This window comes from Homo sapiens, chromosome 22 (assembly GCF_000001405.40).
Source record: "Homo sapiens chromosome 22, GRCh38.p14 Primary Assembly".
Classification (NCBI taxonomy): domain Eukaryota; kingdom Metazoa; phylum Chordata; class Mammalia; order Primates; family Hominidae; genus Homo; species Homo sapiens.
In genome coordinates this window covers 17,137,446-17,165,445 of record NC_000022.11, presented here as the reverse complement: position 1 = coordinate 17,165,445, position 28,000 = coordinate 17,137,446, and the positions used below count along the sequence as shown (strand labels likewise).

Sequence of the window (28,000 nt, the reverse complement as noted above, 5' to 3'; positions counted from 1 at the left end):
TGAGAATAAAAATGTCAGCTTTATTACTGCTAAAAGCTTGTTGGAGAACACCACTTATTTGGGAGACAACACGGACTTGCTGATGCTGCCGTTGGTGTCCTTGGCACAGGTATAAAGCCCAGCCCTCCGTGCTGCAGGGACAGGCAGAACACAGACTTCTGGTGGACCAGCTGGCTCCTAAAGAGGAGAGGGGACTAAATCATGTATGCTTGGTTCTTTCTTCCCAGCTTCTCTCAGGTAACTCACGTTTCCTCTTCCCCAGGTAGAGAGAGGCCAGGAGTATTATTAACAGAAGTCCCATTTTCAGGGAAACATGACTAGTAGGAAATATGTATCCCTTCCCTACAGAGAACTCCACCTTCTCAGAATTCTCCCTCAGCAAGACTGAGTGTGTATGTGTGTGATGAGAGAGATGGAGAGAGATAGAAAGAGAGAGAGACAGTGAGCAGTAAACCCTCCTGCAAGCCCTTCCTGACCCCAGCCAGGGGGACCTGCCCATCTCTCTGTGGCCTGTTGGCCATCCTCCACCCCTGTTCTTCCAGCCACAGCTTCCCTGCCATTCCTGTACTGGGAACCAACTTCTCTTTTCTTTCGTCTGCCTCCTACTGGTGTGAGGTAGGATATGCCAGTTTCCCTCCTTTTATCCTTTATTCCTTCTCATGTGGAAAAGCAACCATGACTTTTAGCCAGTCATAAGGCTATATTTTCTAGCCTTCTTTGCTGCTAGGCATGACCATGTGGTTAAGTTTTGGCCAATGAGGTGTAAGCAGAAGTGGTATAAGAGACTCCTTGGAAGTGCACCTGTAGGGAAATGGGATACCCCTTTTTGTCTCTTTCCTGGTGGCTGGAATGTGAACATAAGGGCTGGAGCCTGAGCAGCTATCTTAGACCATGAAGTGGCAGCTGTGCAGTGAAGGCCGTGAGGGAGCAAAATAGGAGCCTGGGTACCTAACAAGTTTGTGGAACCACAATACCAAGGCTGTGTTGTTCTCTCCCAACTACTTCGTTTATGTGAGAGAAACACATTTCTTTCTTATCTAAGCCACTGCTCTTTGGAGGTTTCTGTGTCTTACAGCCAAACCTAATCCTAACTAATAGAAAATGTGTGTGGGTGTTAGCAGGTTTACAGACATCTAGATGCAGACACATTTGTGCAAGTTTGTGGAGAAAGTAGGAGTATGAACAGTCATTCACCTATTGCTTTTTTTTTTTTTTTTTTTTTTCTGAGATGGAGTCTCACTCTGTCGCCTAGGCTGGAGTGCAGTGGCACGGTCTCAGCTCACTGCAACCTCCATCTCCCGGATTCAAGCGATTCCCCAGCCTCGGACTACCGAGTAGCTGGGATTACAGATGCGTGCCACCATGCCCAGCTAATTTTCGGATTTTTAGTAGAGACGTGGTTTCACCTTGTTGGCCAGGCTGGTCTCGAACTCCTGACCTCAGGTGATCTGCCCGCCTCCACCTCCCAAAGTGCTGGGATTACAGGCCACCGTGCCTGGCCTCACCTGCCTATTAATGTAAACTGAGCACCCATCATGTGCAAGGCATCCTGCATGACAGGACTGTGAGGGAGACAGGTGAATCAGAGAGACACTGCCCTCAAGCAGCTTAGAGTCCAGGGCATCGAGCTTGTACACGTGTGAGGCCGGAACTTCCCACAGTGTATCTTCTGTTCTGCTACCTTTCCTGAAAAGAACTGGCTCACCTCGGATTCCTGCCAGGAATGGCTGCTGTTTTATGGGGTTTGGGCCACAACTGAGGATGACCGAAAGCAAGGCAGGCCTGGGAGAAAAATGTGGCTCACTTGAGATGAGCAGGGCCCACAGATATCAGTGCTGGGGCACCAGTTGAACAGAACTGTGGTCATATAGGTGTGGCTGGGGGCTGGGGATAGAGAACAGGGAGCAGCATCTGTTCTGGGATGGGAAGTGTATGGTCTCCAGAACATACTGGTCCAGCGTCTGCTCAGAGACATGCTAACTCCTAAAGGAGAGCTTCCTAAAGTGGGTCAGCAGCATGAGCATCCTGGGGAGCTGATCAGATATGCACATCCAAACTCCAAAGGGAGCGCCATCAATCTGGGTTTTTAGGAGACCTCCAGGTGATTCTGATGGATGCTCAAGTTAGAGAATCCTGGACCTCTGAAGCCAGGTAGCAAGGTGGGGCAAGTCAGCGCATAGAAGGCTACAAATTCCAAATATAGTGTAATCCAAGCACCGAAGCCCTCTCTGAGACAAAAGCTGATTTAACAAACCCCACGAGTAACATGTGATTGAAGACTGGCGAGGCCCTTCTAATTAACATCCACGGTCCATTTGTACAACAGACGGTACAAAACATAATCTGGATAAACTCAGAAGACGTGCTCATATAAAGATTTGGGAAGTCTCCAAATTCAATCAAGTGAGCAGAGCAAATATTCTGAACCTGAATACGAAAGAACATCTTAATGTGATTGTGTCGTAACATGACTGGGAATCAAAATAAAGATGCGTTAAGCAACAGCAGGGCAGGGGTTCTGCTTACAATGTCAGCCACAGAGCCTGAGTTTGTTAGTGTTTATTCAGCACTGCCCAAAGGATAGAGCTAGGGGTGGCAGAATATGTGCTCCGTGCATCCGGCAGGATGGGAAGACACCTAGAATAGCACAGGGTAGACGTGAGTGCCCTTGTTCCTGGAAGTGCAAACTCTTTAACATGGCAAGCCTTAGCTGTGAGATTTCTCCTTAGAGGATGGTTCTTACCTTTTACTGGCTTATGAACCCAGAGAATCTAATAAAGACTTATCACGTACACACACAGTCTTTGATTCAATAATCATGTTGGAATCTCCCACAGTGCACCTTCTGTCATCTTTCCCCGAAACAAACAGACAAACAAACCAAACCAACTAAAACAACAGCAAAACCCAGCCCATTTCTGGTTCCTGCTTTGGATGGGCTGGAATGGTCTTATGGCATTCAGTCCACAATGGAGGAAGAATGAAAGCAAGGCAGGCCCATGTGGGGAACACTGCTGACTTAGGCTGAAACTCCTGAAGATTAATAACACTAAGTATGACACAGTCCTGATCACCAAGAATATTAGTTATCTTTTGCTGTATAACGAATTATCCCAAAGTGTAATGACTTAAAACAACAAACCTTCAGTATCTCCCTGTTTCTGAGGGTTAGGAATTCAGGAGTGACTTAGCTGGGTGGTTTTGCCTCAGGGTGGTTCATGAGGTTTTGGTCAAGGGTTCCGCCAGGAATGGAAGCTCCACCTCCAAGAAGATTCTCTCTCCTGACTACTGGTAGGATGCCTCAGATCCTCACCATGTGGGCCTTTCTATAGGGCTGCTTGAATGGCCTCACCACATGACAACTCTACTATGCGTCTAGCTTTCCTAGAATGAGTTATCTAAATGAGGGCAAGGTGGAAGTCACAGTATCTTTTATGACCTAGCCTTGGAAATCAACTACACTCACTTCTGTCCCATGTTATTTATTAAAAAGTCAGTGAAGTCCAGCCCACACTCAATGGGAGGGGAATTAGAATTAGACTCCAGGTTTTTTTTTTTTCTTTTTTTTTTTTTGAGACAGAGTCTCACTCTGTTGCTCAGGCTGTAGTGGCACAATCTTGGCTCACTGCAACCTCTGCCTCCTGAGCTCAAGCGATCCTCCCACCTTAGCCTCCTAGAATAGCTGGGACTACAGGTGTGTGTCACTATGCCTGGCTAATTTTTTTTTTATATATATATTTTGTGGAGACAAGGTTTTGTCACGTTGCCCAGGCTGGTCTGGCATTCCTGGACTCAAGTGATCCACCTGCCTCGGCTTCCCAAGTGTTGGGATTACAGGCATGAACCACCATACCCACCCAACTCCAGCTTTTTTTTTTTTTGGAGACATAGTTCCGCTCTGTCGCTCAGGCTGGAGTGCAGTGGCTCAATCTCAGCTCAGCTCTCTGCAACCTCTGCTTCCCAGGTTCAAGTGATTCTCCTGCCTCAGCCTCCCAAGTAGCTGGGATTACAGGCACACACCACCATGCCTGGCTAATTTTTGTATTTTTAGTAGAGACAGAGTTTCACCATGTTGGCCAGGCTGGTCACGAACTCCTGACCTCAGATGATCCACCTACCTCGGCCTCCCAAAGTGCTGGGATTACAGGCATGAGCCACTGTGACCGGCCTTTTTTTCTTCTTTCTTTTTTTTTTTTTTTTGAGATAGAGTCTCACTCTGTTGCCCAGGCTCGAGTACAGTGGCACGCTCTCAGCTCACTGCAACCTCCACCTCCCAGGTTCAAGCGATTCTCCTGCCTCAGCTTCCCAAGTAGCTGGGATTACAGGTGCATGACGAGCTAATTTTTGTATTTTTAGTAGAGACGGGTTTCGCCATGTTGGCCAGGCTGGTCTTGAACTCCTGATCTCAGATGATCCGCCTGACTTGGCCTCCCAAAGTGCTGGGATTACAGGTGTGAGCCACCGCGCCTGGCTATGCTTTTGAGGAGCCGATTGTCAAAAAAAACTGTGGGCATGTTTAAAAGCCATCATACCAAGAAATTTCTAATGACTAAATCAGTTTCTAGGTAGTTTAATAGAAGGAAGGGATTAGGAACATTGCAATCCTAGAGAGCTATGTCCCCTGGCAGGGTTTAAGTGTCGGGCTATTGTGAGTTTGACTGACTTGAATTAGTCTTCCAAATTCTGATTAGCTGTAGTTGAACTGAATTAAGATCTTGCCCTTCAAAGCTGAGGACCAAAGGACACCGCTAACTACTTCTTCATTTTATTATTATTATTATTATTTTTTTTTTTTTCAAGACGGAGTCTCACTCCGTCACCCAGGCTGGAGTGCATTGGCGCAATCTCGGCTCACTGCAACTTCTGCTGCCTGGGTTCAAGCGATTCTCCTGCCTCAGCCTCCCGAGTAGCTGGGACTTGAGGCGCCTGCCACCGCGCCTGGCTAATTTTTGCAGTTTTCAGCAGAGACGGGGTTTCACCATCTTGGCTAGGTGGTCTTGAACCCCTGACCTCCTGATCCACTCGCCTCAGTCTCCCAAAGTGCTGGGATTACAGGTGTGAGCCACCGCACCCGGCCCTATTTTATTATTTTTAAAATAGAGAAGGGGTCTCCCTATGTTGCCCAGGCTGGTCTGGAACTCCTGGACTCAAGTTTTCCTCCCACCTTGACCTTCCAAAGTTCTGGGATTACAGGGGTGAGCCACCGCACCCTGGCCTGCTAATGTGTGAGCTAGTGCAGTCTCTGTCCATATCCTCGACTCCCTCTCTGCTAGTGCTAAGTACATTGTAGGGTCCCGCGTTTTTAGCATAGCTATACCTATGAATGGGCCAAAGAATCTGAGGGCATCCTACACATTTCAAACGGTGGGAATGGAGACCTCTTTCCTCCAGCAGAATCTCCCCTCATGACCGGGGGACTACCAGATCCAGCTCTGCTAAGGGCCTCCACGGACGGAGTCGGCTACCTCTCCACTTTCAGTGACCGAAATCCATTCTTTGTTCATTCACCCTTGTGTCTACTCCGGGAAACGCGCAGCGGACACAGTCGTGTTCCCTAAGTGTTTGCTGACTTAGTCATCTGGCCCTCTCTGGAGTAGTCATTTTGTACCTTGTACTACATTCGTGCCTCTACCTCTCCGCAGTGCGCGCGGGGGCGGACTCACGTGCGCAGTCTCCCTATGCGCTGGGAGGGCGTCAGCAGGTTTACAGAAACAATGAAAGACTTAACAATTGGCGCGCGACGAGCGTCCCTTGACTGGCAGGGGCCCAGAGGACCTGAACATCACTAAGGGTCTGCCCCAGCGGCCCGGCCCTGAAGTCAAGGTTGAGACCCCCGGCCCAGACAGTCCGCGAAGCTGAGGGAGGCCGGCCTGGGGCCTGCCGCGCAATGTTACCGGGATCCGCAGGCACAGGGCGATAGTACGGACGCCGCCGCCCAGGCCGTGCCCATTGTGCGCCGCGGCCAGCTCACCGCGATCTCGGTCTAGGAGGCGGCGGGACCCCGCACTTCTTCCTTGCAACGGAGCCCCTTTGGCCTGCGGGTCGAGTTCCATAGGCGCCCGACGGGCTCCGCGCGCTTACAGGACTACAACTCCCGTGATGCCGCGCGCGCCGACCGCTGATTGGCTGTGCAGCGGACGGACTCGCGGGGGGGGGGGGCCGCACGCCGTGCACGTGCGCACGGCGACGGCCGGATGGCTGCGTGGGGCTGTGTGGCTGCGCTCGGCGCGGCGCGTGGGCTTTGCTGGCGGGCGGCGCGCGCGGCTGCGGGGCTCCAGGGCCGCCCCGCCCGCAGGTGCTATGCTGTGGGCCCCGCTCAGGTGAGGACGTCCGGGTTCTGGCCGAGCCACTCGCCACTCAGGGCCGGAGGCGGGGCGGGGAGCCGCGGGGAAGGAGGGGCGGCCGGGCTGGTATCCCAGCCTCCTGGGAACTGCCTGGACCGTCGTCGCGCCCGAGTGCATCGCGTTCTTGCTGGAGGGCGGATGCGCCCTGCCTTCCTCTGACTCGCTGGCGGCCTCGGAAACGCTACTCCCGCGGGAGAGCGCTCGTGGGACGGCCTGGGCCAGGCTGCTTGTCAGCCCCTGCGCTTCCCGGCAGTTTCCGCGTCCCTGTTTTCCCTGCGCGTCTTCTGATTTCCACCATGAGGACGTTTGGGTCGTGATTTTCATCTGCATGTGGAGGAAACTGGGCCGCGCGCCGGGAGCCGCGCCTGCGGGTGCTCCGCCCCCAAGTGCCTGTGGGTTTGGTGCGGGCCTTGGGTTCAGTTCAGCTCGCTGTGACCTCGACTGAGCGCTGGAGGCTCCGCGGGCGGGAGCAGGAGGGCTGGAGCCGGCGCCTGCTGTGTGCCCGGCGCGGTAGTGATGTGTGAGCCTCCCCGCAACTTCTGAGAAGGTGTGACCTTGTGTGGTCAGGAAGCCGAAGCTTGACGAGTTTTCAAGTACGTTTTCTCAGGTCCTGCAGCTGGGAGACGGCACAGGACACTAAACCAGGTTGGTCAGATCCACGGCTCTCACGCTCCCTTGGGCCGTTTTGCCTTTTCTGGAAAAAGGAATCACTTTGTCTTCTAAACGCACAAGTAATATTTTACATTAACATACGGATTTCACAGTAATCCTTGCATTTTTTTTTTTTAGACGGCATCTCTGTCACCAGGTTGGAGTGCAGTGGCGCAATCTCTGCTCACTGCAACCTCCGCCTCCCGGGTTCAAGCGATTCTTCTGTCTCAGCCTCCCGAGTAGCTGGGATTACAGGCACCCGCCACCACATCCGGCTAATTTTTGTATTTTTAGTAGAGACAGGGTTTCACCATGTTGGCCAGGCTGGTCTCGAACTTTTGACCTCAGATGATCCTCACATCTTGGCCTCCCAGAGTGGTGAGATTACAGGCATGAGCCAGTGCACCCGGCCAAATTACTTGCATGAAAAAAACACATAGTGCTTACTTTGTGCCAGGCACTATTCTAAGTACTTCACAGTTATTCGTATAATCTTTATAACAACTCCGAGGAAAGTACTATTATTAGTCTTCCCATTTTATAGATGGAGCAGAGGCACAGAGAGGTTAAGCAGCTTACCCAAGGGCACACAGCTGGTAAGTGGCAGAATCTGGAACTCAGGTAGTCTGGTGCCAGAGTCTAAGCTCTTAACAGCTGTATTATTTTTATGATTTTTAAATATGGAGCAGCTAAGGTTCAAAGCAGCTGAGTGACTTGGCCAGTGTCACATAGCTAGACGTGACCAAGGTGGAAGTTTGAAATTAGAATATGTTGATAAAAGGACTTACAAACTGTCAGGATATAAATATAAGGAAATATCGCCCTTATTTATAACTGTTGTATTGGCTCTAGCATCTCTGCAGAGTCCCGAAATGTCTCCAAGTGACTCTTCCGGTAGAGCAGAAAAAGAAGAATGCAGGATGACAGAGTTTGAGCACGAGCTTTAGAATTGAATCCTGTGCAGTCTGTTAGCGGCTTCACTTAAGGCAATTTACATAGCTTTCCAAGCTCAGTTTCCCCATCTATGTAATGGATCTATTACTTGTAATCCCAGCTACTCGGGAGGCTGAGGCAGGAGAAGCCCTTGAACCTGGGAGGGAGGTTGCGGTGAGCGGAGATCGGGCCATTGCACTCCAGCCCGGGCAACAGATCCTGACTCTTATCAAAAAAAAAAAAAAAGAAAATTAACCTTAGTTTAACTTTCTTGCTTTACCAAGTTTTTAATTTTTAAAATTTTTTACTCTTTTGTAATAGCACTTAGTTTAAAACACAACACATTGTACAGCTGTACTAAATATATCTTCATTTATATCATTGTTCCATAGCTTTTTTCTTTTGTGTGTGTGTGTGTGTGTGTGTGTGTGTATGTGTGTGAGACGGTGTCTAGCTCTGTTGCCCGGGCTGGAGTGCAGTGGCGCCATCTCGGTCCACTGCAACCTCTGCCTCCCAGGTTCAAGTGATTCGCCTGCCTCAGCCTCCCAAGTACGTGGGATTACAGGCGCCTGCCACCACGCCCAGCTAATTTTTGTATTTTTAGTAGAGACGGGGTTTCACTGTGTTGGCCAGGCTGGTCTCGAACTCCTGACCTCATGATCCGCCTGCCTTGGTTTCCCAAAGTATTGGGATTAGAAGCATGAGCCACCGTGCCCAGCCAGCTTTTTTTTTTTTTTTGAGACGGAGTCTCGCTCGCTCTGTTGCCCAGGCTGGAGTGGAGTGGCGTGGTCTCGGCTCACTGCAAGCTCTGCCTCCTGGGTTCACATCATTCTCCTGCCTCAGCCTCCGGAGTAACTGGGAGTATAGGTGCCTGCCACCACGCCTGGCTAATTTTTTGGATTTTTAGTAGAGATGGGGTTTCACTGTGTTAGCCAAGATGGTCTCGATCTCCTAACCTCGTGATCTGCCCTCCTTGGCCTTGCAACATGCTGGGATTACAGGCAGCTTTTTTCTATTAAAAAAAATTACAGGTGTGCACCACCACGCCCGGCTAATTTTTTGTATCTTTGGTAGAGATGGGGTTTCACCATGTTGGCCAGACTGGTCTCGAACTCCTGACCTCATGATACGCCCGCCTTGGCCTCCCAGAGTGCTGGGATTACAGGCGTGAGCCACAGTGCCCTACCTTAAAAAAAATTTTTTTTTTTAACTTTTGTTAAAAATGAAGACACAAACACCTACTAGCCCAGGCCTACATAAGGTCGGGTCAGGTAATTGATATCACTGTCTTCTGCCTTCACACCATGTCCCATTAGAAGGTCTTTAGGGGGCAGTCATATGCATGGAACTGTCATCTGCGATAACAGTGCTTTCTTCTGGATATCTTCTGAAGGACCTCTCTGAGGCTCTTGAGGTGTCACTCTTATCAGAAATATGTCCATTGTGGTTTGCTTGGTTTCTTTTTTTTTGTCATAGGTTTGCTTGTAAACAGATAATGTACCATAAACATTCTTCTCTAGTAATGAAAACCTTTTGGCGTTGGAGTTCATGTTTCAGACTTTTTAAGGAACTTGAGGTCTGTAAAAGCTGCTGAACCCTTCACTGTGAATTTTCTTGGATGTTCTTTTCTTTCTGTGGCTACCTTTTCTCTTGCCTCTTCTTCAGCTATGAGTTCCTGTTCCATTATAATCTTAAGGGACCATTGTATATGCAGTGTGTCATTGACTGAAACATCGTTATGGTGCGTGACTGTATTACCATCTTGCATTAGTGTGGTACATTTGTTATAATTGATGTACACCTTCACTTTTTATGGTACTGGGTGCCTGGTTCTCTGTGTACATCCTGAAGGTTGGGGAGGGGTTGGAGTGATGGGTGAGGGAGCCTTATGGATATTGCTCAATTTTCCTGAAAACTTTGCTGTTCTAAGTAGCAGGGGCTATGGATTCTTATTTTTAAGAAAGCAGATCTTGGGCCGGGCGCGGTGGGTCATGCCTGTAATCCCAGCACTTTGGGAGGCCGCGACGGGCGGATCACGAGGTCAGGAGTTTGAGACCAGCCTGGCCAATATGGTGAAACCCCGTCTCTACTAAAAATATAAAAAATAAGCCAGGTGTGTTGGCGCGCGTCTGTAGTCCCAGCTACTTGGGAGGCTGAGGCAGGAGAATCACTTGAACCCAGGAGGCAGAGGTTGTAGTGAGTCGAGATTGCACCACTGCACTCCAGCCTGGGTGACAGTGAGACTCCGTCTCAAAAAAAACCAACCAAACAAAAAAAAAAAAAAAAGGAAAGCAAATCTTGTGACTGTTTAGGCAATGACCGTTAAAACTATGTATGGTAAATTTTGCAACCATTGTACAAATGAGCTGTTTTTTAACTATGTAAGTTTTCAAAAATTCAAAAATGGGGAATAATATGAACCCCTGTGCCCATCTCCCAGATTGAGCAATGATTAACATTTTTCAACACCTGCTTTGCTTATCTCCCTCCTCCTTTTTTTGTGGCTCTAAGATTTTAAAGTAAATCTCTGATTTCTTGTCATTTCAAACCTAAATTCTTCTGTGTGTACCTCTAAGAAAAATAAGGACATTCTGGCTGGGTGCCATGGCTCACACCTGTAATCTGAGCACTTTGGGAGTTGGAAGGATTACTTGAGCCCAGGAGTTCCAGACCAGCCTGGGCAACATAGGGAGACCCTGTCTCTACAAAAGAAAAAAAAAAAAAAATTAGCCAGGCATGTGGTGGCACATACTTGTAGTCCCAGCTACTTGGGAAGCTGAAGCAGGAGGATCCTTTGAGCTCAGGAGGTTGAGGTTGCAGTGAGCTGAGATGACACTAGTGCACCCAGCCTTGGTGACAGAGTGCGACCCTGTCTTGTCTCAACCAAAAAAAAAAAAAAAAGAAAATAAGGACATTCTGAACATAACCACGATGCCAGTATCATACCTAACAACATTAGTAATTCCTTAATATCACTTAAAATCTAGGCCTTTTAAAAATTTATTTATTTATTTTTTGTTTTTATTTATTTATTTTTTGAGATGGAGTTTCCCTCTTGTTGCCCAGGCTGGAGTGCAACGATGTGATCTTGGCTTACTGCAAACACCATCTCCCGAGTTCAAGCAATTCTGCCTCAGCCTTCCGAGTAGCTGGGATTACAGGCATGTGCCACCACGCCCAGCTAATTTTGTATTTTTAATAGAGACAGGGTTTCTCCGTGTTGGTCAGGCTGGTCTCGAACTCCCAACCTCAGGCGATCTGCCCACCTCGGCCTGCCAAAGTGCTGGGATTACAGGCGTGAGCTACTGTGCCCAGCCAAGTTTCTTAAAGAAACACTGTTTCTTAAAAAAATTGTTGGCTGGGCGCGGTGGCTCACGCCTGTAATCCCAGCACTTTGGGAGGCCGAGGTGGGCAGATTGCCTGAGGTTGGGAGTTGGAGACCAGCTTTGAGACAAGACTAACCTGGGGAAACCGCATCTCTGCCAAATACAAAAATTAGGTGGGTTTGGTGGTGCGCACCTATAGTCCCAGCTACTTGGGAGGCTGAGGTGGGAGGATCGCTTGAGCCCAGGTGATGGAGGTTGCGGTGAGCCAAGATCACGCCACAAAAAAGTGTTGGAATCACCCAGTCCTTAAGGGACTTACTTTCTAAGAGCCACTCTTTTCCTTCAGAAAGGGATAGGGTGGTCGGGAAGTATCTATTTCTCCCTAACCATTTATCCTTTGGGTCATTCAGCATCCAGTCAGCCTTTGTCAATCACCTGTGAGTCTAAGCACTGTGTCAGGTATGGGGGTAAAGGGCAAATCACATCCCCTCCTCCCTTTAAGCCCAGGTAGTGATTCTCCTTGAGAAGAATAAGAAAATGAAATCCGAAAAGTGCTATGGTTACTTTTCCCAGGAAAAATGCTTGTAGTGTTTAAAGGGGATTTATGGCCATCCTGAAATCTATCTGTGGGCCTAGGTTAGGACCCCCATTCTAGTGAGATTTCTTGGGGAATAGGGAGGGGCTCCAGGGATCCTTGAGGGTACATGAGTGTATTGAGGAGAGAGAAGAAATGGAACTCACAGCTGGGAGCTGGCAGGAGGTGGGGGAAGCAGTCCTGGGGTCCCCTGTTTTCTCTGAGGTGCTGCCGAGTTGCCAGCTGAATTTGAGACTGAATCCTGAATCCAGCACTTGTGAACTGGGTGACCCTTGCTGAGTTCTTTTTGAGGTTGATGCCTTATTTGTCCAGTCAGGTAATTTAGTGCCTGTATATTGAACACCTTGTATAAACCGGCACATTTTGCCAGGCAAGGCCATTTGGAGATGCTGACACTTCCTCAAAGGGCTGCCAAAAAGAATACATAAAAATGCCTTTGTTACATGTCTGGCTGAGTGCTTGGGACAGTGACAGGTCTGGGTGCAACAGCATAAGCCTGTGAAGCCAAGGGTTAGAGGCACCATTTGTCCAGGCATTTCCTGTGTGGCGTGTGGGGCTTGGTCAGTTTTCTCTTGGCAGCTGTTTTTTGGTGTTCAGGTGTGATATCTTGTTGGCTCGAGTTGCTTCCTCCTGTTTTTCCAGGGTCCCTGCCCTCCTCCTGCTTGGCTCTGTAGCTGTCATTGTCCAAGCTTGGAGGGCTCATGTACAAGCTAACATGGAGGAGGAGCTGGAAGATTGCCTCTCCCGGGGGTCTTGCCTGTTCAGTGGAAAGAAGATGGGATCATTACAGCCACTCCAGTCCCTGTTTTACTGGACCCGAGACATACCTCAGCTTCCTGGACCCCACACGCTCTTGGTTTTCCTCCTTGCACTGTCTTTTGCTGGCAGGTCTTGTGTGGTCCATTATTAAGTAGTATTGTTCTTCCTGGTTCTCTGAGAGGCGAGACCTTCCAAAATTTTCATCTCCAGGACCTGTCCAGTGCTGATGTCTCCACTTGCCTGTCTCCCAGGTCCAAAGTGGGACTTAACCTTGTATCCTCCAATGACCTCTCGCTGCCCGCTCCTACTGTGCCCTTTGGTTCAGTGACTCATACCCGCATCCACCCTCCCGGGTTCCCAGACCAAAATAAAAAAGCATGGGAGTCCGTGTGGCTCCCTCTTCCCTCCACCCCTGTATCTGGATGGTTACCAAGTCATGACTGTTCTGTCTCTGATAATGCCCCCTGATCTCCATTCTTACCACCACTCTCCCAGGTAAATGCTCCATCTTCTCTGTCTTGGGTTGCATTTGGTCCCACCTGGTCTTTCAGTTAACTCCCTTCAGTCCACCCAATGCAGTCTTTTCTCTGCAGCCAAATTTTTTTCTATAGTTCAGGTCTGATGATACCACTTTCCATTTTCAAACTCCTTAAATTGGCCTCGGAGACCTGTGATGGCCAATCTTCCCCACCCCTGTGGGTCAGGTTCCTCTGGTGTGGGCCTATCTCTTAGTGCAAGGCTCCCTGTAGACTGTCCTGGGGCTGCCTGTCTAATTGTCTTCTCATTGAACCAGGTAGGCAGGCAGGAACCACTCATCTAGTCTGGGGGTGACTGGGGGGTGCAAAGAGTTTTGTTACAGGATGTATTTAACACTTTCATTGTCTGGCTCAAAATTCTCTTTGAAGAAACTGCCTTTGTTTAATTCTGTTTATTTATTTAGAACTTACCTAGAATTGATTTGCACTTGCAAAAATGCTGCTGTTTTAGAGTTTGCTTTCTAGGCTGGTTGCTTGCTCTGTCACCTTAGCTAAAAAGTAGGTACTGGAGCGCCTTTTCTCTTCTCTTCTCTTCTTTCTTTCTTCTTCTTTTTTTTTTTTTTTTTTTTTTTTTAGTAGAGTCTAGCTTTGTCGCCCAGGCTTAAGTGCAGTGGCACGATCCCGGCTCACTGCATCCTCTGCCTCCCAGGTTCAAGTGATTCTCCTGCCTCAGCCTCCCGAGTAGCTGGGATGACAGGCGCCCACCACCACACCCAGCTAATTTTTGTATTTTTAGTAGAGGCGAGGTTTCACCATGTTGGCCAGGCTGGTCTTGAACTCCTGACCTCAAGTGATCCACCCTCTTGAGCCTCCCAAAGTGCTGGGATTACAGGCGTGAGCCACCACACCTGGCCTGTAGCGCCATTTCTGTTTCTGGTTGCTCTATAAAGGGAGCTCTGTGCGTAGAGTAGGTGTGTCAGTAAGAATGACTTGACCTAGTTGGCACCAACAAAGAAAAATAGCAAACAAGTTAGGTTAGGTTTTTTTGATGATTGAAGAACATCTTGTATGTTAACAGGCAGTTTATAAAATGAGAAATGGAATGATTTTTAAAAACAGCATTCAGCTTTATAAATCCAGGAAATGCAGATAGAAAAGAGATAATTTTTTTACCTTTAAATTATAAAAAAGTTTGATAATTAACAGTTGTGAAAATCAATATTGTAAGGGTAAAGTACGTTGCCAGTGGACATGTTTTTGAACAGCAGTTTGTCAGTTGGTGTTTATGTAATTACATTTGCTCTCTCTGATTTATTACTCCTATTTTTAAGAATCTAGCTCAAGGAAATACCCATAATATGGGAAAAAAATCAGTATTCCTGAAGAGGTTCCTTGTAGCATTATTTTTCATAGCAAAATTGTGGAAAAACCTAACTGTCCAAAATATAGAGAACAATATTAGTGAATTATTCACTCAGAATAGTATGTAGCCAGAAATGATGTTTAGGAAATAGAGCTATGCATAATTAATATGGAATGATAGGGCAGGGTGCAGTGGCTCAAGCCTGTAATCCTAGCACTTTGAGAGGCCAAGGTGGGTGAATCACCTAAGGTCAGGAGTTCAAGACCAGCCTGGTCAACATGGCATAACCTCGTCTCCACTAAAAATACAAATATTAGGTGGGCATGGTGGGGTGCACCTGTAATCCCAGCTATTCGGGAGAGTGAGGCAGAAGAATCACTTGAACGTGGGAGGCAGAGGTTGCGGTGAGCTGAGATAACGCTGCTGCACTCCAGTCTCGGCGACAGAGCAAGACTCTGTCTCAAAAAAAAAAAAAAGACAGCCAAGAGATACCAACTAAAAAAGTAAGATGGAAAACAAAGTCAACATGATTCTATGTGTGTGTTAACATTAGAAAGGTGTGTATACTATAGATTTATAAAAGCCTTCTGGAAATTATGCAGGACAGGAATAGGACTAAGTAAGTTGGAGACAAGAAACTTTTGAAACATTTTTATATTGTCTGTAGTGATTGAGGTTATTTTGTTTTTAACTTTTTGCTATAATAAAATCTTAAAAGATGGTTATAAAGACTATTGTAATCCATAAAAATATTTATGATATGTCAAGCAAAAAAGAACGAGATGATGTAAAATGGCATATAGTTCATTTGTAGCTACAAGACAAATATGAGAATAGAGAAAAAAGGGGAACTATTAATTGGTTGTTTTAAAGTGTTGGGATTAGGCTGGACTCGGTGGCTCACGCCTAATAATCCTAGCATTAAATTTAGGAAGCTGAGGCGAGAGGATCCCTTGAGCCCAGTGGGTCAAGGCTGCAGTGAGCCGTGATCATGCCACTGTACTCCAGTCTGGGCAACGGGAAGACTCTGTAAAAGCGAATGATTAAAAATAAGTGTTGGGATTATATTTTCTTTGGATTTCTCTATTTTCTATTTAAAGATTGCCCTATCAGAATCCCATCTTCATTTTTTTGTTCTTTCTGACATAGGTTTTCAAGGGACATGAGTGACCCGAGGATGGTGTTGAGCCTCTCTTTGTAAGGGTTGTTTCTTTGTTACTCACGTACTGGTAATTATCTTACCATCTCTGCAGAGCCCACCCACCTTTGGGTTCCTGTTGGACATCGATGGAGTGCTTGTGCGGGGCCACAGAGTGATCCCTGCTGCTCTGAAAGCCTTCCGAAGGCTGGTGAACTCCCAGGGGCAGCTGCGGGTGCCCGTGGTTTTTGTTACAAATGCTGGGAACATCTTACAACACAGCAAAGCCCAGGAGCTGTCAGCCCTGCTGGGGTGCGAGGTGAGAAGGCAGCCAGAGGCATGGAAGCCCAAGGACCTGGTTCCTAATGGAGCCGCTGCCCCAGCTCCAAGTCCCTTTCCCCTGGGTTGGGATATGGAATCACCTAGTCCTAGGTCATGGCCACAGCTGAACACAGAAATCCTGCCTGTGTATTTGGCAGTTGTAGATTATGTCCTTGTATCTGTTTCTTTTCTTCTGGGCATTGGGGGTGTGAGTCCCTGGAAAGCAAAGGTCACACACATGTCTAGAACTTGCATAGCAGGAATAGCAGGTGTGGCTCTGGCGTCACACCTTGGCTTTCCTGGGTATGATGTGTGCACCTGAAGGAGTGCTGTCCTCCTCAGCCACCTGCAGCCCTGCACCATATCCCAACTTTGATGCATTCTTGTTTGTTGAGGGTGAATTCAGCTTTTGGAAAGAGTCCTTTGGAACCAGGAGAGTAAATAAAATAGCTGATTGATTAGATGATGCTGCTCAAAGTTGCATGTAAAATGTGACGGAATCAAATTGGTTCCTTGCTGTGATTTCCAGAGAGAATTCCAAAAACCTTCCAAGTAAAGGCTGCATTGTTAGGGTTAGTATAAATGTTAAGCAGCTAACTCTTAGCAGGAATGAAAATAGAAAGTAAAAGACCAGTTTCTGCGACAGTGACAGGGAGCACACATGAACCCTATGGCTTCCAAGTGGGGGCTTGGGAAATCCAAACTGAACCTGACGGGGTAGCGGTGGCAAGTGGTCAGAACCCACATCTGTGGCATTTCTGGTCTCTTGTGTGGCAAGAACTAAATGAGACAGGTTCTTCTCAGATCTGTTTGGGTGCCTTTCAGAAGTGCTGCTGGGTGCTAGAAAGGGCTTTCCTCCCCGTTCTTTTTCTGAGCGGGTTTTTTCCTTCCCTAGGCTAAAGGACCTGCCACCTGTCTCATTATTTCCCTCAACAGTTCTGTCTTCCTCTGCCCTCCCCTGTCTTGGCTGTCCCTACAGGTGGATGCAGACCAAGTTATCCTCTCTCACAGCCCCATGAAGCTCTTCTCCGAGTACCATGAGAAGCGGATGCTGGTGTCTGGACAGGGGCCCGTGATGGAAAATGCCCAGGGGTATCCTTTTGGTCTTAACTCTGGCTGAAGGGAAGGGGCAGGGCTGAGGTGTTTCCTCCCTTAGCTGAGTGGGGACTGTAGTGAGGAGTGCTGGGTGCTGGGGTACACAGGCGATGTTGTGGGCTCAGGGGAGGGAGGACAGCTCCCGACTGTGGTCAGTCCTCATGTCTGGTGGTTTCCAAAAGCCAGTTCTCATACCCCTGCATCAGAATCCTCTGGGGAGCTTAAAATACAGATCCCAGGGTATCTGCGCTGGAGCCTTAATTCACTAGGTCTCGGGTAAAACTCAGGAATCTGTATTTTTTAAAAAACAAAACACCTCTCTTAGTGGTTCTGTAACTGGGTTTGGGAACCCCTGCTCTAGCCTCTTCCTTGGGGTGCCCAGTCAGTTTATTAGCCAGTGGTAGTGAAGCAGCTACCGGGAGCCTGTCTCTGGGAGCCTGCGGAATAATACCTGGCCCGTTTTAAGCAACTGTTGTGCTGAGCACGTCCTGTGTACCAGCGGTCTGCCGCACACTCTGAATGGGACGAGGACCAGGATGAGGGCGTAGGACTTATGAATCAATCAAGGGCTTGTGCTGGAGGCAAGAATAACACCATGAGCAGTAAAGGAGCGTGTGCGATGGCGTGTGATCGAAGGCCGGTAAGCTCACAGGAGGGCGTCACAGGTGTGGGGCGTGTGTGATGGCGTGTGATCGAAGGCCGGTAAGCTCACAGGAGGGCGCCACAGGTGTGGAGCGTGTGCGATGGCATGTGATCGAAGGCCTGTGAGCTCACAGGAGTGTGCCACAGGTGTGGGGCGTGTGCGATGGCGTGTGATTGAAGGCCGGTAAGCTCACAGGAGGGCGCCACAGGTGTGGGGCGTGTGCGATGGCGTGTGATCGAAGGCCGGTAAGCTCACAGGAGTGTGCCACAGGTGTGGGGCGTGTGCGATGGCGTGTGATCGAAGGCCGGTAAGCTCACAGGAGTGTGCCACAGGTGTGGAGCGTGTGCGATGGCATGTGAAGGCCGGTAAGCTCACAGGAGGGCGTCGCAGGTGTGGGGCGTGTGCGATGGCATGTGATCGAAGGCCGGTAAGCTCACAGGAGTGCGCCACAGGTGTGGGGCGTGTGCGATGGCGTGTGATCGAAGGCCTGTAAGCTCACAGGAGTGCGTCACAGGTGTGGGGCGTGTGCGATGGCGTGTGATCGAAGGCCGGTAAGCTCACAGGAGGGCGTCACAGGTGTGGGGCGTGTGCGATGGCGTGTGATCGAAGGCCGGTAAGCTCACAGGAGGGCGTCACAGGTGTGGGGCGTGTGCGATGGCGTGTGATCGAAGGCCGGTAAGCTCACAGGAGGGCGTCACAGGTGTGGGGCGTGTGCGATGACGTGTGATCGAAGGCCGGTAAGCTCACAGGAGGGCGTCACAGGTGTGGGGCGTGTGCGATGGCGTGTGATCGAATGCCGGTAAGCTCACAGGAGGGCGTCACAGGTGTGGGGCGTGTGCGATGGCGTGTGATCGAAGGCCGGTAAGCTCACAGGAGGGCGTCACAGGTGTGGGGCGTGTGCGATGGCGTGTGATCGAAGGCCGGTAAGCTCACAGGAGGGCGTCACAGGTGTGGGGCGTGTGCGATGGCGTGTGATCGAAGGCCGGTAAGCTCACAGGAGGGCGTCACAGGTGTGGGGCGTGTGCGATGACGTGTGATTGAAGGCCGGTAAGCTCACAGGAGGGCGTCACAGGTGTGGGGCGTGTGCGATGATGTGTGATTGAAGGCCGGTAAGCTCACAGGAGGGCGTCACAGGTGTGGGGCGTGTGCGATGACGTGTGATCGAAGGCCTGTAAGCTCACAGGAGTGTGCCACAGGTGTGGAGCGTGTGCGATGGCGTGTGATCGAAGGCCGGTAAGCTCACAGGAGGGCGTCACAGGTGTGGGGCGTGTGCGATGACGTGTGATTGAAGGCCGGTAAGCTCACAGGAGGGCGCCACAGGTGTGGAGCGTGTGCGATGGCGTGTGATCGAAGGCCTGTAAGCTCACAGGAGTGTGCCACAGGTGTGGAGCGTGTGCGATGGCGTGTGATCGAAGGCCGGTAAGCTCACAGGAGGGCGTCACAGGTGTGGAGCGTGTGCGATGGCATGTGATTGAAGGCCGGTAAGCTCACAGGAGGGCGCCACAGGTGTGGAGGGGAGGGCTTGGAGTATCCCTGGGGCAGGAGTTGCCTGTGGCTTCTTGGAGGGGTACAGCGGAGCCCCAGGAGATGGCTAAGCTCCTAAGCAGGGGAAGTAGGAGGTTGGGAATGGGATAGGGAGAGGAAGGAAAGAACAGGAAGGGTGGTGCCAGGTTGTCGGGAACCTTGGAAGTAAACTTGAGGAGTCTGACCGACTTCTCAGGGCAGTGGAAAGCAGGGCACGCTTTATTGCTGATGGGGCAATCTGATAGAATCAGGATTTTGGGGAAATTCATTTTGAGAGTAATCAAACCATGTCCAGTTAAGATTGCAAGTTGGAATTGAGGATAGGAAAATGGAGGCAGATCTTAGAGGAGATAGGCTGAAGCTGGCTTGCCCCTCCCCAAGGCCGCCTCTTCCTTGATGATTTGGGTTCATCCTTTAAGATTTTAGCTCCAGCCCTACTTCTCCATGACTCCTCTGGACTCCCCAGCCCACTGAGGAGTCTCTTCTGAACTCAGCACTGACTAGCAGCACTGTTCTCAGAGAACACTGGTTTTGATGGGCTCTGAATGTGCTAGCTCCTTGGGGACAGAGTTTTTTGTTTTTTTTTGAGACAGGGTCACACTCTGTTGCCCAAGTTGGAGTGCAGTGGTGCAATCATAGCTCACTGTAGCCTTGACCTCCTGGGCTCAAATGATCCTCCTGCCCCAGCCTCCTGAGTAGACGACAGGTGTGCACCACCATGCCTAGCTGACTTTATTTGTAGAGACAAGGTCTCACTATGTTGCCCATGCTGGCTGGAACTCCTGGGCTCAAGCCATCCTCCTGCCTCAGCCTCCCAAAGTGCTGGGATTTCAGGCATGAGCCACTGCACCCAGCTGGGGACAGAGATTCTTATGTGCCTTTGCCCCCTAGGCTGTGCCCAGCATAGGACCTGGTAGCTGGCATGTGCCTGGTGACTGCTGGTGGGTTACCCAGGAGCTGCCCTCTCTACTCTACCTGTGCAGTTACAGCCTGCCTGCCAGCACCTGCAGGATTTGTGCCATCCTTGCTGGGCTCTGCTTGGTGCCCTCCTGCCTGGCTTGATCAGGAGTGGGTTGTGTTCCCTTCACTTGTGATTTGATGCATTCAGAAAGGCATCTTCCCCAAGAACTGTCCAGCATTACTTCCTGAGCTTGCTCCAGACTGGGCTTCCGAAATGTCGTCACCGTGGATGAGCTGCGGATGGCCTTTCCTCTGCTTGACATGGTGGACCTGGAGCGGCGGCTAAAGACCACGGTAATAAGGAGCATGGGTTGGGCTGTGTCTTCATCCTTCACTCCTCCAGTGCCCTGCATTGGCTGTGTCGCTGACCTTGCAAGCCCTCCTGCAGAGCTGTGATTTGTCCATGCTTCTTTGGAGGCACATCTGGCTAAGGGTTTTGTTCCCTGAATTTATGAGAATGGCCCAGAGGCTGGCTGCGGTGGCTTACACCTGTAATCCCAACGCTTTGGGAGGCTGAAACAGGAGGACTGTTTGAGCCCAGGAGTTCAAGACCAGCCTGGGCAACATAGTGAGACCCCGTCTCTACAAAAAAATTTAAAAAATTGTCCAGGCATGGTGGGTCACACCTGTAATTCCAGCACTTTGGGAGGCCAAGGCGGGTGGATCACCTGAGGTCAGGAGTTCCAGACCAGCCTGGCCAACATGGTGAAACCCCGTCTCTACTAAAAATACAAAAATTAGCTGGGCACAGTGATGGATGCCTATAATCCCAGCTACTCGGGAGGCAGAGGCAGGAGAATAACTTGAACCTGGGAGGCAGAGGTTGCAGTGAGCTGACATCACACCATTGCACTCCAGCCTGGGCAACAGAGCGAGACTCCGTCTCAAAAAAAAAAAAAAAAAAGCCACATATGGTGGCGCATGCCTATAGTCCCAGCTACTCAGGAGGCTGAGGCAGGAGGGTTGCTTGAGCCCAGGCGTTGGAGGCTGCAGTGAGCTGTGATCACTGCACTCCAGTCTTGGCGGCTGAGTGAGACCCTGTCTCAAAAAAAAAAAAGGAAAAAGCCCAGAGAAGCGAACGGCTTTATGCCCTGTCCTCTCTGTATTGCTTATAATTAGCTGGGAACCCGTTTCAGAGCCACAGCATCCCGTCCAACAAGGAGTTCCAGACTTACTGGCTGGCCTTCCCAGTGCTGCCCAGGAGAGCTGGCCATTGTGAAGTTAGCAATCCTGAGGCCCGGCACTGAGCTGCCCTCGGGAGAGGTAGCTTGCTTGCAGAGGAAGCACTGGTCAGTCTGCACATCTGCCCAGGTGCCCTGTGCGCTGGGCTCATTTTTGAGCACTGACTTTGTCCCCTAACTCATCTGATCCCTTGGTGATCCTCTGCAGCATGACTGCCATCTCTTGAGGTGCCCGTTGGCTCACTTTCTCCTCATCGCACCGTCTGTGTATCACATAGCCCAGGTCTTGAGTCAGACCATTCTCACAGTTTGACGACATGCAGTTATAAACAGATAACTTACTTTTTATTTGCTGATATAGCTTAAGTCCTTCCTCCTCCAGCGCTTTCTGATGGAACAGAGCACTTCCTCCCCTGTGAGGGCTTTCTCCCTGACCTGTGCAAGTTCTGTGGAGAACCAGAATGTCAGAGTTGGAACAGATCTCGGAATAGCTCAGAGACAGCCCCACACAGGGGAGTGACCTGTCCCGGGTCACATAGTTGTTTAGTGGCAGAGCCAAGACTACCATGGCCTGGGGATGGAGTGGACCCTCGAGGCTGGTCGAGTGAAGCTGCCTGCTCAAGAACCGACATGAGGAGAAATGGCCCATCAGGCGTGATGCCGCCTTCGTCTCCACGGCCTCACCTTAGCTGCCTGATTTTAGACTCTTGCTTGGCTATATCTTGTGTCCTCTCCCACCAGAGAAAGACAGCTGACCACCCTTCCTCCTGGTGACTTCACCCATGGTGTCCTGCCTGTTCTGTGGCCCCACCTGGCCATTGTCTTTTCGCCTTTCTTGCATCTTTCTCAGTCCTCTCCAGCTTTCCCTTGGCTTGGGCTTGACCACGGGTGTGGGGTCTGTGGAGTGTGTCTCCCCTCCCCTCCCAGCACCCTGGAGGTGGGGTTGTGGTTCTCCTGGAGTGGAAGGCGACTTGTGTTGATAGCCTCTCCTTTGTCTCTCTGCAGCCCCTCCCGAGGAATGACTTCCCCCGCATTGAAGGTAAGAGAGGTCCTCTTTGATGAGTTGTGAGGTCTTTTCTCCGTCTCCTCTCTGGCCCTCAGGCTGTCTCAGTGTGACTGCCTGCAGCCTGGTTCAGCAGCAAGGGGCCTTGGAGTCAGGACACCTGGGCTCTGGTCTGGATCTGCCACTTACCACCTCTGAGACTGTTGTTAGTCTTTCCTTCCCCATGCCACTCACTATTCCAGGAAAACCGTAAGCTTAGAGAATTTTAGTGGTGGAAAGACACCTAGAGGTGATCTAGTCTAGTGTTTCTCAACTTTTAAACCCAGTTCTCCCCTTTTTATACCAAGAACATTGGAATATCCCCTTTATTATCCTGAAGTGAAATTCTTAGGTAATATAACTTCTGTACACACATATTAAAAATTAGTTCAGTATAAAGCCCTAACTGTAATAGGGGGATATAAAAGGAAACATTTTTAGTAAGAAGATAATGTATTTCAGTATGTAGTAGTTATCCAAGAAGTAAAATGGTTGCACTAAACAGAATCACCATGAATGTTAACAGCTACAAATGCAGGCTGATGTGTGTTTATAGGTGTGACAGGCGTGTTTTACCGGTGACTCAGAAATTAGGGGCAGCATTGCCGTTGGTCAAGTGATTTTCCAAAATAGGTAACAGTTCTTGGTAGAGTTTTGAAAAGGCAAAGTACAGTCTTCTCTTGACTTACACGATAGTTGTATTTTTGGAAAAATTGATGTTTATTGAAGCTGTACAAAAATGCTTTGTGATTGTATGTAAAATAGAATCGTTCAAGTAATTCTGAAAAGGTTGTTCACCTGTGTGGATACCAGGATATCAGGTGGGACATTCAAATGTTATGAGGACATGGGAAAGTTTTTTCTTTTTCTTCTTGTTGTTTTGTAGAGACGGGCTCTCACTATGTTGCCCAGGCTGGTCTCAAACTCCTGAGCTCAAGCAATCCTACCACCTTGGCCTCCCAAAGTGCTGGAATTACAGACACAAGCCACCGCACGCAGCCATGGGATGGTTTTTTTAAAAATTAATTTTAGTGTGGGATAGTTTTTGATTGCACAGGATTGTCCTGAGTATGTAGCGTCCCTGGCCCCCTCCCACAACCTTCACTTGCTAGGTTCTAGTCATTGTGACAACTAAAATTGCCTCTGATTTGTAAAGCACCTCAGCAGGGGCGGTGCTGCCCCATGGAGAATCACTGGTCTGGTGCAGTTCACCGGCCCTGTACCTTAGTGTCAGCAGTGTTCTTTGCCTAGTGCTTACTGTGTGTCTAGTCCTGGGCTGTTTACCGATGATGTAGCTCATTTTTATCCTCACAATAGCTAAGTGCTGTTGCTGTTATGTAGTTGCAGTTGAGGAAACTGAGGCTTAGAGAAGAGAAGTTACTTGGCCACAGTCATACAGGAGAATCGGTGGAGTCCAGGTTGGGTTTCAAGTCTCTATCACTCCACACCCCCTGTCCTGGCTGTTAGGTTCTGCCAGTCCCTGGGGCTCAGAGAGAAGCGACTGAGGGAACAGGAGCCCTTGCTAAGTCATGTGAGGGAGAATGTGGTGGCAGAGTCCCAGCCAGCAAGGAGAAGTAGCCCTGAGACATGCTGCTTTTGTTTTGTAACCTCTTCTGTGAAGCACTGGTGGACTGAAGTCAGAATGGGAGCCCTCAGGAATCTCCTTCCTGGGCCCTGGGCCTTGTGCACCCAGGGTGGATGGGTAAGGGGCTCTACTGGGCTTGTTGGGGAGCTGTGCCCCTGCCCAGCTGGGTGCACCATGGGTGGAGGGCTTGTGGATGGGTAGCCCTAGCTGGCATCCTGAGGGCCTGCCGCCTGCCATCTGCCCTGCAGCCCTCACCTGCGCCTCTGTTCTTTAAAGGGGTGCTCCTCCTAGGGGAGCCGGTCCGCTGGGAGACCAGCCTGCAGCTGATCATGGATGTCCTCCTCAGCAATGGGAGCCCTGGGGCTGGCCTGGCAACACCCCCCTACCCCCACCTCCCCGTCCTAGCCAGCAACATGGATCTCCTGTGGATGGCTGAAGCCAAGATGCCCAGGTGAGGACACAAAGCTCCCAGCCTTGGCCTGGTGGTCTATTCCTGGCTGCTGCCTGGGCAGTCCTGCAGGCAGTTCCCATCCGTCCTGACACCCCAGGTGCCGGGACCTCACTTAGGTAGGCCCTGTTGTTGCTGCAGTAACCTGGCCTTTGGAAGGGCTTTCAAGGACCACTCCACATATTAGTTACTAAACCTAAACTACAGATTATGGAGTCTGAGGATGTATTGAGAGGATGTTTCACACGTGACCCCTGCCCCCTGTAATCTTTACAGAACATGCTCTTGGTGTCTGGTGGATCCCAAACCGTGGGCACTTTTTGTACCGTATCTGTGCACATTATTCAGTTGCTCTTCCTTCCTTGGCTCCATCCTGTAGCATTGGTTCTTTGACTTTCTGGTTTCCTTTTACCCTTCAGACATAAGGCAGGAGGAAGCAAGGATTTGTCGTTTTTTGTTTGTTTTGTTTTTTTTGCGGGGACAGTGTCTCACTCTCTCATCCAGGCTGGAGTGCAGTGGTGCAGTCATAGCTCACTGCAGCCTTGAACTCCTGGCCTCAAGTGACCCCCGTGCCTCAGCCTCCAAAAGTGCCGGGATTACAGGCGTGCTCCATCATGCCGGCCAAGGATTGTTCTGATAGTCGTATAGACCAGAGAACTGAGACCCAGCAGATAAGTGGCTTTCTCAGGGGCATGCAGGTGCCTATACTCCCTGCTCAGCTGTGTTGGTGTCATGTGTCCTGTCTTATTCTGGGGCTAGCACAGATAGAGGCAGCCCTTTTTTGGCCTCAGGGTGCTTACTTGAAGGCCAGCTGACAGCTGCTGTGTACTGTTCGGTTGCTGTTATCTGCATGGCCAGTCTCTTGAGTCTCAGCCTGCTGTTGACCCCCAGTCGACAGTGCTCGTCAGCAGAGGGTGGGCACGGCCCAGTACTGCCTCAGGGCCCGTCTCAGTAGTCCCAGAGAGACGGGGTATGGTATGCTCTTGTCACTTTTAAAGTGTATGTCTGTGGCTCGAGGCTTGGCATTGTCTCTGAAGTATTATTCCTAGAGGCGGGTATGCTGACACTAGATCAGTGGGCTTGGTTGGTTATGTCTCTGTGAACTGAAAAGCAAGGGGCAGATTTCAATTTACAAACCAGATTTTAGATGAACTTTTCTAATTAAAAGTAGAATTATTTACATAAATGACACTGAAAGATGTGGTGGCTCATGCTTGTAATCCCAACACTTCGGGAGGCCGAGGTGGGTGGATCACCTGAGGTCAGTTCAAGATCAGCCTGGCCAACATGGCAAAACCCCGTCTCTACTAAAAATATAAAAATTAGCCGGGCATGGTGGCAGGTGCCTGTAATCCCAGCTACTCGGAGGCTGAGGCAGGAGAATCACTTGAACCCAGGGGGTGGAGGTTGCAGTGAGCTGAGATTGTACCCAAGCGCCAGCCATCATATCAGCATTCCAGGTGTCAAGAAGGAGTTGGGGAGGGCAGAGAGGGCAGAGAAGAATACCGTCCCCAGTTTGTTTGTTTTTTTTTTTTAGATGGAGTCTTGCTCTTTTGCCCAGGCTGGAATGCAGTGGTGCAATCTTGGCCCGCTGCAACCTCCGCCTCCCGGGTTCAAGTGATTCTCCTGCCTCAGCCCCCCAAGTAGCTGGGACTACAGGCATGTGCCACCACACCCAGCTAATTTTTGCATTTTTGGTAGAGACAGGCTTTCACCATGTTGGCCAGACTGGTCTTGAACTCCTGACCTCAGGTGATCCACCTGCCTTGGCCTCCCAAAGTGCTAAGATTACAGGCATGAGCCACTGCGCCTGGCCGCCTGTCCCCAATTTTAAGGATGCTTATTGAAAATTTAGCCCAGCATTTCTGCTTTCCTTGACTGTAGCTTAGTCACATGGCCACGCCTCGCTGGCAGGGAGGCAAGCGAAGGTCTTTTTCACACCTAGTGGCAATATGGTCAGCTGAAAATGGACACCAGCAAAGAAGGGGAGAAGCGCAACCGTAGTCTGCCTCAGCTCTACAGCAGGATTTAAGCTCTGGAGTCAGACTGAGTTGTAATCCTAGCTCTGCCCTCTTGAACAAGTTACTTAATCTTGCTGTGCCTTGGTTTCCTCGTTTTACAAATAGCGTCATCTCATAGAGTTTTTCTGAGAGGGAAATGTGAAATGCTGCCTCCAGTGCCTGCACAGTGTCTGCTACATGTCAGCTCTTACCCTGGGGAAAAGGCTGGTCTGTGTGTTTGCTGCTTAGACAGTGGCAGTCGTGTTCTCTAGAAGAGCCTGGAGATCAGGAAGACTGAACTGCTGCGTGCTCGTTTCTGGCAGGTTTGGACATGGCACCTTTCTGCTGTGCCTGGAAACCATTTACCAGAAAGTGACGGGCAAGGAGCTGAGATACGAGGGCCTGATGGGCAAACCCAGCATCCTCACTTACCAGTATGCCGAGGACCTGATCAGGCGACAGGCGGAGAGGCGGGGCTGGGCCGCCCCCATCCGGAAGCTCTATGCTGTGGGGTAGGCTCTGCTCTCCCTCCTTTGTCCCTTTTATGACATCCCCTTCTCTCCCTCCTCCTCTACTCTCACCCCCATTTCCCTATATCTAATTCACTCTTCTGCCCCGAAACTCTTCTCTGCTCCCTTTGCTTTGCAACATTGATTTAGGGTTTTTTCTCCTTTTTCCTTTTCCGGTGTGGCTGCCCCTGCCAGTGATAACCCTATGTCTGACGTATACGGCGCCAACCTGTTCCACCAGTACCTGCAGAAGGCAACGCATGATGGGGCGCCAGAACTAGGGGCCGGGGGCACACGGCAGCAACAGCCCTCAGCAAGCCAGAGCTGCATCTCCATCCTGGTGTGTACAGGCGTCTACAATCCCAGGAACCCACAGTCCACGGAGCCTGTCCTTGGAGGAGGGGAGCCTCCATTCCACGGGCACCGAGACTTATGCTTCAGTCCAGGGCTCATGGAGGCCTCCCACGTGGTGAATGACGTGAATGAGGCTGTGCAGCTGGTCTTCCGCAAGGAGGGCTGGGCTTTGGAGTGAGGGCAGTGCGGTGGAGGTGAGGGGGTGAGCCTGGACCTGTGGGCGAGTCCCATTGGCTGGGCTCTGGCCTGATCACTGGGCTCAGGTCAGGGCTTGGTTCCCTTGCCACCCTTCTTGCTGCCCCATGAGTGTGGCATTACTGGTCACTTGGAAGAAGACAGTGACTCTTTTTCCCTGCTGGGTAGCATTTTGTATGGAACGGTTGGAATTTTCTGGGCCCAGTTCCCACGTGCCTTTCGTGGCAGTCTAACCTCAGGCCATTCTCTTCCCCTGTGTGCCTCAGTGTCCTTCTCATTTCAGTAGGGACTTCTGAAATGGGGGAGGCAGTGTGGAATACTGTGGATGTCTGTGCAGAGCCTTTGCCGGCACTGAAGGCATGCAGCCTGTCGGCAGAGTGTCTTAACACCAGATGCTACTTTTTACTGTATTGTAGTTTATTGCCCGGAGATGTGGGGCTTTTTTTTTAAATAAAATAATCATAATAAATGTTCATGATGCTGACTCTTGTGAAGCTCTGTCTGGAGTGCACTAAAAGTCCTGTGGGGAAAGGAGGAGTGAGTGGTGTGGGCGGCCCA

General features: G+C 50.1%; 1 protein-coding gene and 1 long non-coding RNA gene across 9 annotated transcripts, besides 4 other annotated features; one reads left to right on the top strand and one right to left on the bottom strand.

Moving 5' to 3' along the window:
• On the bottom strand, positions 1-6,057 carry HDHD5-AS1 (HDHD5 antisense RNA 1). Of its 2 annotated transcripts, none has more exons than NR_024483.1 (2): positions 5,609-6,057; positions 1-177 (listed from the first exon to the last, which is right to left on the bottom strand). It is a non-coding gene; the product is annotated as an HDHD5 antisense RNA 1 (long non-coding RNA). The 2 variants fall into 2 exon arrangements; NR_024482.1 differs by having other exon boundaries at positions 5,895-6,057.
• On the top strand, positions 159-27,926 carry HDHD5 (haloacid dehalogenase like hydrolase domain containing 5). 7 transcript variants are annotated; one of them, NM_017829.6, is made up of 8 exons: positions 159-237; positions 15,701-15,904; positions 16,886-16,998; positions 20,329-20,422; positions 22,315-22,348; positions 24,213-24,387; positions 26,708-26,896; positions 27,089-27,926. In NM_017829.6, exons 1-8 carry the CDS (start codon positions 202-204, stop codon positions 27,423-27,425), a joined length of 1,182 nt encoding a protein of 393 aa, NP_060299.4. In that variant the 5' UTR covers positions 159-201; the 3' UTR covers positions 27,426-27,926. The 7 variants fall into 7 exon arrangements, with proteins under 7 accessions (NP_060299.4, NP_149061.1, XP_011544428.1 ...); NM_033070.3 differs by lacking the exon at positions 159-237 and adding an exon at positions 6,169-6,320; XM_011546127.2 differs by lacking the exon at positions 159-237 and adding an exon at positions 6,454-6,989.
• Positions 6,158-6,487: a silencer, noted in NCBI's record as "silent region_13434". NCBI's record gives its function as "represses an Ori minimal core promoter by ATAC-STARR-seq in GM12878 lymphoblastoid cells {active_cell/tissue: GM12878}" and the evidence as "EXISTENCE:reporter gene assay evidence [ECO:0000049][PMID:35858748]".
• Positions 21,575-22,075: an enhancer, noted in NCBI's record as "H3K4me1 hESC enhancer chr22:17624261-17624761 (GRCh37/hg19 assembly coordinates)". NCBI's record gives its function as "activates a minimal SCP1, AML or CMV promoter by ChIP-STARR-seq in primed H9 embryonic stem cells {active_cell/tissue: H9 hESC(primed)}" and the evidence as "EXISTENCE:reporter gene assay evidence [ECO:0000049][PMID:30033119]".
• Positions 26,394-27,100: an enhancer, noted in NCBI's record as "H3K4me1 hESC enhancer chr22:17619236-17619942 (GRCh37/hg19 assembly coordinates)". NCBI's record gives its function as "activates a minimal SCP1, AML or CMV promoter by ChIP-STARR-seq in primed H9 embryonic stem cells {active_cell/tissue: H9 hESC(primed)}" and the evidence as "EXISTENCE:reporter gene assay evidence [ECO:0000049][PMID:30033119]".
• Positions 27,101-27,808: an enhancer, noted in NCBI's record as "H3K4me1 hESC enhancer chr22:17618528-17619235 (GRCh37/hg19 assembly coordinates)". NCBI's record gives its function as "activates a minimal SCP1, AML or CMV promoter by ChIP-STARR-seq in primed H9 embryonic stem cells {active_cell/tissue: H9 hESC(primed)}" and the evidence as "EXISTENCE:reporter gene assay evidence [ECO:0000049][PMID:30033119]".
• Positions 27,927-28,000: the final 74 nt, after the last annotated feature.

Excerpts from the sequence above, each read along its gene's own strand:
- HDHD5 (NM_033070.3), top strand. The coding sequence starts at position 6,195 with ATGGCTGCGTGGGGCTGTGTGGCTGCGCTCGGCGCGGCGCGTGGGCTT. Across the intron at positions 6,321-15,700 it reads ATGCTGTGGGCCCCGCTCAG|AGCCCACCCACCTTTGGGTT; the intron begins GTGAGGACGTCC and ends CCATCTCTGCAG. Across the intron at positions 26,897-27,088 it reads CGGAAGCTCTATGCTGTGGG|TGATAACCCTATGTCTGACG; the intron begins GTAGGCTCTGCT and ends TGCCCCTGCCAG.